The sequence below is a fragment of the Homo sapiens genome, chromosome X (genome assembly GCF_000001405.40).
Source record: "Homo sapiens chromosome X, GRCh38.p14 Primary Assembly".
In the NCBI taxonomy this organism is placed as follows: domain Eukaryota; kingdom Metazoa; phylum Chordata; class Mammalia; order Primates; family Hominidae; genus Homo; species Homo sapiens.
In genome coordinates, this window is record NC_000023.11 from 84707848 (window position 1) to 84714046 (window position 6199).

General features: G+C 38.8%; 1 annotated feature.

The window, feature by feature from the left end:
* Window positions 5199-5700: an enhancer, noted in NCBI's record as "NANOG hESC enhancer chrX:83968054-83968555 (GRCh37/hg19 assembly coordinates)". NCBI's record gives its function as "activates a minimal SCP1, AML or CMV promoter by ChIP-STARR-seq in naive H9 embryonic stem cells {active_cell/tissue: H9 hESC(naive)}" and the evidence as "EXISTENCE:reporter gene assay evidence [ECO:0000049][PMID:30033119]".

Below are 6199 nucleotides of genomic sequence, written 5' to 3' on the forward strand. Positions count from 1 at the left end.
TCTGGCCCATATTCCTACTGGGTATTATAATTCCAACTGGGATCCTCATAGGGAACAACTGTAGCTCCTATGGGGTAGTTGACATTTGCCAAGTGCAGGTCATCCTTGCAACAGAGTGCTGCCTCACAGGTATTTTTTTTTTTTCTTATGAGAGAGTTTGTCCTAAGAGGATGCTTATATCCCTCCAGGTAAGCTCAAAAGTAAGAGTTAATTTACAGAAACCCTCTATGAATTTCTCGGGATAATCCATAATTTTCCCAGGTCTTCCTTAACTTGAGAAAGGTCCTGCATAGAAAAGGGAACTTGGACTGTGACTGGCCTGTTGGTCCACTTACCACTTGTAATGGGCAGAGTCTGGAGAGTGGGTTAGAGGGCCCAGTGTAAGGCAGGGCTGACTTGATAGTCTTGATAGTAGGATATGTAGGGGAAGGAGTTGGGGTGTCTGTTTCTCGTATTTGCTCTTGGATGGGGGAGGCTGAGGAATCTTTGGTGGAGGGCTCTGGAGCAGACAATGGAGCATAGCCAGGATGGTTTTCTCTATTCTACAGGCCTTACAAAGATCAGAGTTTTCCCTCAGGGCCATGAAGGCTTGCAAGTAGGGGATCTCTGACAATTTGCCCTGACTTCAGCAGAAAGAGTCAAATGGTGGATGGTATTAAAATCCAAACTTCCTACTTCTGGCCAGGCTTCCTGGTCTGATAGTTCATAGGATAGAGGAGATATCACCCCACTTATTCCTATGATAACCCATAAAGGTGAGGCATTCCTTGCCTTTGCCTAGGTAAGGCACCCTGTGCCTCTACCTATTACCCATAAAGGTGAATCATCCCTTACCTTTGAGGGGCTCCAGAATCAGCATAGGGCTCCAGATGCCCAGTCCCTTAGGTCCCCCTTTTAATCACATAAGCAACAAAGGAAGCCCCAGGAGTATTTTCTGTCTGATTTCTCAACAAACAACAAGAAGCACCTGAGGGCTTCATGGTTTGGCAATAATGGCCTTATAAGACAAAAAAAAAAAAAAAGAAAAACCTCCCCAAGGCCCATAAGAGACCCTAGATGTAAAGAGATACGGAAGAATGAGTAAGAGGGCCGCAGATGGCTGTCCAGAGCAGTTGGACGGCCTGTTTAAGGAACCATAAAGTGAAGTGTTTTAGAAGAGTATTCAACTGGAGAAGGACTGATAGTAAATAAAGGATGCCTTTAAATGAGGATCGTGCCAGTTTTGGCCCCAGTAGTGAGAAAGGAGGTAAGAGAAAGGGTGAAGGTGAACTGCATTCGTGGGGAAAAAATAAATATACAGTTCAAAGGAGGCATATAGGGAATTTCAACTCCCAGCAGTAATGTAAACACAGCATGACCCAGAAGAGCAGGCCCTGCAAGGGGTTTGCATGTGGAGGAGGTATTCAAGAAAGCCCCTCCATGGGCAAAGAGACAGCAATGAGTAGGTGGACTGATTTGTGATATTGATTACCTGCAGGGGCATATTTTGTCTGGGAAATAAAATGGAGTAAAAGGGAAGGAAAATAGCCAACTCAAAGGAATATGGTAGTTTTAGTTAAAATATATAGAATTCTCTAGTCATTGCATGGCCTAGGCCATTCCCCGCCAACAGGTCAAGCCTCCTGTCAGGGAGAATTACGGTAACTTAGATCTGCATGATGTGGTCTTTAAGTCCTCCCACCTCCACTTGCCACCTTTCTGGGTGAGCTGAAAAATCAGCCAGAGGGAGCAAAAGTTACTGTAATTGAAGGGAATTGTACTGGGGAGTTGAAAGTGAGCAGGAGAAGGAAAGCCTCATTTTAAAGTAGCAAGAATTGCGTTAGAATTAGAATAGTAAAGAGGAAAAAATGTCAAACTCTATAAAATATTTGAAGAGATTTATTCTGAGGAAAATATGAGTTACCATGGCCCCTGGCACAGCCCTCATGAGACCCTGACAACATATGCCCACTTGGTCAGGGTGAAGCTTGGTTTTATACATTTTAGGGAGTCATGAGACATCAATCAAATACATTTAAGATATGCATTAGTTTGGTCCAGAAAGCCAAGACTACTCGAAGTGGGGGCTTCCAGGTTATAGGCAAATTTAAAATTTTTTTCTGATTGGCAATTGGTTGAAAGAGTTATTATCAATGGAAAGGAATGTCTGGGTTATGACAAGAGGCTGTGGAGACAAAAGTTTTATCATGCAGATGAAGCCTACAGGTAGCTGACTTCAAAAACAATAGATTGTAAATGCTTCTTATCAGACTTAAGGTCTGTGTTGATGTTAAATGCTTGTCAGCTTTTCTTGAAATCCAAAAGGGAGGAGGGCATAATGAGGCATGTCCAACCCCGCTTCCCATCATGGCCTGAACCAGTTTTTCAGGTTAAATTTAGAGTGCCTTGGCTGAGGAGGGAGTTCATTCAGATGGTGGGGAGGGGGAGGGCTTCAAATTTTATTTTTGGATTACGTAGGAAGAAGCAGAGGCAGTCTAATGGGGGTCTGAAATTTCTCCTGGCACTTACCTCAGAGAACCCTGCTTGGACTAGGCAAAGTCCTGGGTTTCAGCACCAAGGAATATTACTGAGGAGAGCTGATGTCCCAGTACTTCTCTAAACTTAGAAGAAAGATTTCAACCAACAGATAGCACAAAGATAGCAGAGGACTTTATTGAAAAGAAATATAGTGTGAAAAGCATATTGCAGGAAAAATTAAGTACACTCCAAGGAAGGAGCAGGCTGATCCTGCAAAAAACAGCGCTGAGGGTCCCGTGCAGGGAGTTTTATCATGTCAGATTTCTTCAAATTCCCTCCTCTGTCTCAAGTCCCCACCTCTGTCCTTTGTCTAGTTTTCACACGCCTGCCATAAGTCCCTACATGCCTGGGTAGTCTCTACACAGGCTTGTGGGAGCCGCTCTTACTGTTGGTTAATGAGCATGCACGAGCAGGTGATTAACACAAATCCTTCCTGATGGAGGCCCTGCTCATTACTGCCAACCCAGGAAGGTTGTAGAATGGTCAAATCCATACCTATTGCAAATGAATATCTACTTGGAATTTCCTTCTCTGTGCTAATCTGTACTTGTGGTGCCAGGTTTCTCATAGGAATGTCCCTTTTGTCCTTATCAGCATGTAGCTAACAATATTCTGACATTTTAACTGGAGAGTGAATGATTATTAAGAGTTCGTGAATCTGTGCCTTTATGCAAGATAAAAAGCTCTCCTAGTACTTTAAGATGGCTTTTCAATGTAGATAAATAATTGGTCTGCATGAAATGCTGAGACTTTAGAGGCTTCTCTTTGTATTTTTAACATTGTCAAAGTCAAAAGGTAGTTTTCCCCTATGGAAAATTGTGATTTAACTGAAAAAGGAATTTGTAAGTTGCATAAAAAAAGATGCTCTGTGAATCTTCTCATTTGGACTGAAAACAATAATAATCCAATTAACCTGTAAATGCTACACATGGAGGAGCCTTTTCACATTAAAAGACCTTGTGAATGCTGAGCCATCTAAGATGTTTTCCTCTTACACCTAAAAGCTGCTTTTAAGAGATGCCAACTCTTAAGTGGCATCTTAAGAGGCATTCCTGGGTGTTTCTTTCTGTGTAGGTAACTCCTCTTCTTCTCACTCACATTTGACTAAGTGCCCACCCACTCCAGCATTAGAGATGTTATTAATATGAAAATTTTGGGTGCCCCCTCGGGCGTGAGCCTTCCAAGACATTTTTTCTTTTTTTCTACTAGGAGTTTCCCCTCCTGTTCATATCTAGCTATCTACATGCTCTAACACTTTGATATGAATTTTTAATTAATGCTTTTTACTTTAATAGATTTCACACATATTAAAATTTTTATTAGGATACAGCTCTTTAAGTTTTATATATTAAGCAAGAGTCGATTTCAATTCATGATTTTGCATTTTAATCAAGAATGCAACAAAAAAGTTCCATAATTGAACATAAACCTTGCTTGTAGACTATTTGGCAACTATAAATTCATTAACATTCATTTTTCTCTGAAGCGTCCTTTCCAGTATTTTTGTTAATACTGTAATATGACTCATTAACTATGAAAGGTTGAAAACATTGTATTACTGATAGACACGCTGAGAATCACTAGTTCAAATGGTTGTTTGCTTAAAAGACTATATGGCCATAGATACCTAGGTAAATAGAAAAAAGTAAGGAAATAATCATATATATTCATATTCATATATGTATATATGGAAAAGGAATAAATAAATAAGTTTAAGAGAAAGTAATATCATAATAGCATTTATTCTTTGGAGTATAGCTAGAAATACTTTCTTACATTTTCAGATCTTTGGTCATTTTAAGTAGGACTAATCTTCCATATATTATAGTTCAGTTTGACAAAATATATATGAATAAAAGAGATTTTGATAAAGAGTGATGATGACATTAAATGAAGAAGTGTTTAATTTACATCATGTCCAGTCCTCCAACTTACAGGGTTCAAGTTGTTCGGTAAAGCATGTAAACCCAAAAAGGAAAGTTTTAGTTGGTAAGAAACAGGAATGATTTTTATTATTGACTGACTTTGTAGCCTCCTCTCTTTAGATGTGAGCTACACATTTCTACTCTTCTGGAACCAGGGAATCCATCCTTAAGTTGTTCCCTCATTCTCTTGGCATCTCTTAAAAGCAGCTTTTAGGTGTAAGAGGAAAACATCTTAGATGGCTCAGCATTCACAATGTCTTTTAATGTGAAAAGGCTCCTCCATGTGTAGCATTTACAGGTTAATTGGATTATTATTGTTTTCAGTCCAAATGAGAAGATTCACAGAGCATCTTTTTTTATGCAACTTACAAATTCCTTTTTCAGCTAAATCACAATTTTCCATAGGGGAAAACTACCTTTTGACTTTGATAATGTTAAAAATACAAAGAGAAGCCTCTAAAGTCTCAGCAATTCATGCAGACCAATTATTTATCTACATTGAAAAGCCATCTTAAAGTACTAGGAGGGCTTTTTATCTTGCATAAAGGCACAGATTCATGAACTCTGAGTCACAAAAGGCTTTGGAGCTCGTCTAGTTCAGAGGTTGGCAAACTTTTTCCATAAAGGACCAGATTGTAAATATTGTAGGCTTTGCAGGCCAAGAGGCAATGTCCTCAATTCTTGAAGCAACTGTTCTCATTCGTGGACTAATAGGCTTTTTTACATTTTAGTAATAAAAATGTAAAATACATTCTATGCTCTTGGGTCATACAAAAATAGGTGGTGAAATGGATTTGGCCCATTGGGCGTAGTTTGCCAGCCCCTCAAACTAACCCACTCTTTCTTAAACTGGGCTGTATTTACTTGTGCTTGTTAAAAATACCTAGATAATCTGGCTTCTTTACTTGGCATTAAATCGCAGACAAACATTATTATTCTGAAGCTTTCTCAAAGCAAACCTGTAGGGAAATATACAATGTACAATGATGGAGATAGTTTACAGACAAAGGAGGACCATTGAGGATTCAAGTTCCCTAAGTAGTGAGCTTTATTTCCTTTAGAAGGTAAATGGCTCCTTGCCATTTTCTCCTTCCCTCTCCTGTATCTCCCTATTTAAGCCTTAAATTCCTTAAAATTTTGCAAATTGCATGGTATAACTTTCTTTGCATGGAATTGCATCACAGATTAACATTAGTTAGATACATTTTTCCAATAAAAATTACGAGAAAAAACTCTTTATAAATTCTAATATAGGGCATTAATAGAAGCTTTTTTTTAAATTTTTACATTCCACATGAACCTTGGAGTACACTTATTGTCATCTATTGAGCTCTGAGGCCTAAATGCCCCATGAGTCAATTTATTTCAAGACAATGGATAGTTAGAATGCAGCTGTATATTATAGGCATGTGGTCATTGCTCTGATGTCACTTCATCAGGAAATGTTCTGTGTAATGAATTTCATCTAAGTGGCTGCAATAATTTGTTAAGATTATAGAACAACACACACACACACACACACACAGCCCACCACCCCAAAATGACAACTTAACAGTACTATATAAGATGCAGTAAAATGGCAGATACAAAGGAGAGATCAGGATATTAACCTTTGGACAGAGCTTTGCAGCCTTCACTGAAAATCAGTTTAATGTAAAATGCGAACCTGTAAATCAGTTCTTTGAAGAAAAAAATGAGCAACTGCCTAGAAAAAGGGCACACTTTATTATAAATTCATTAGGTGGAGACATTTATTT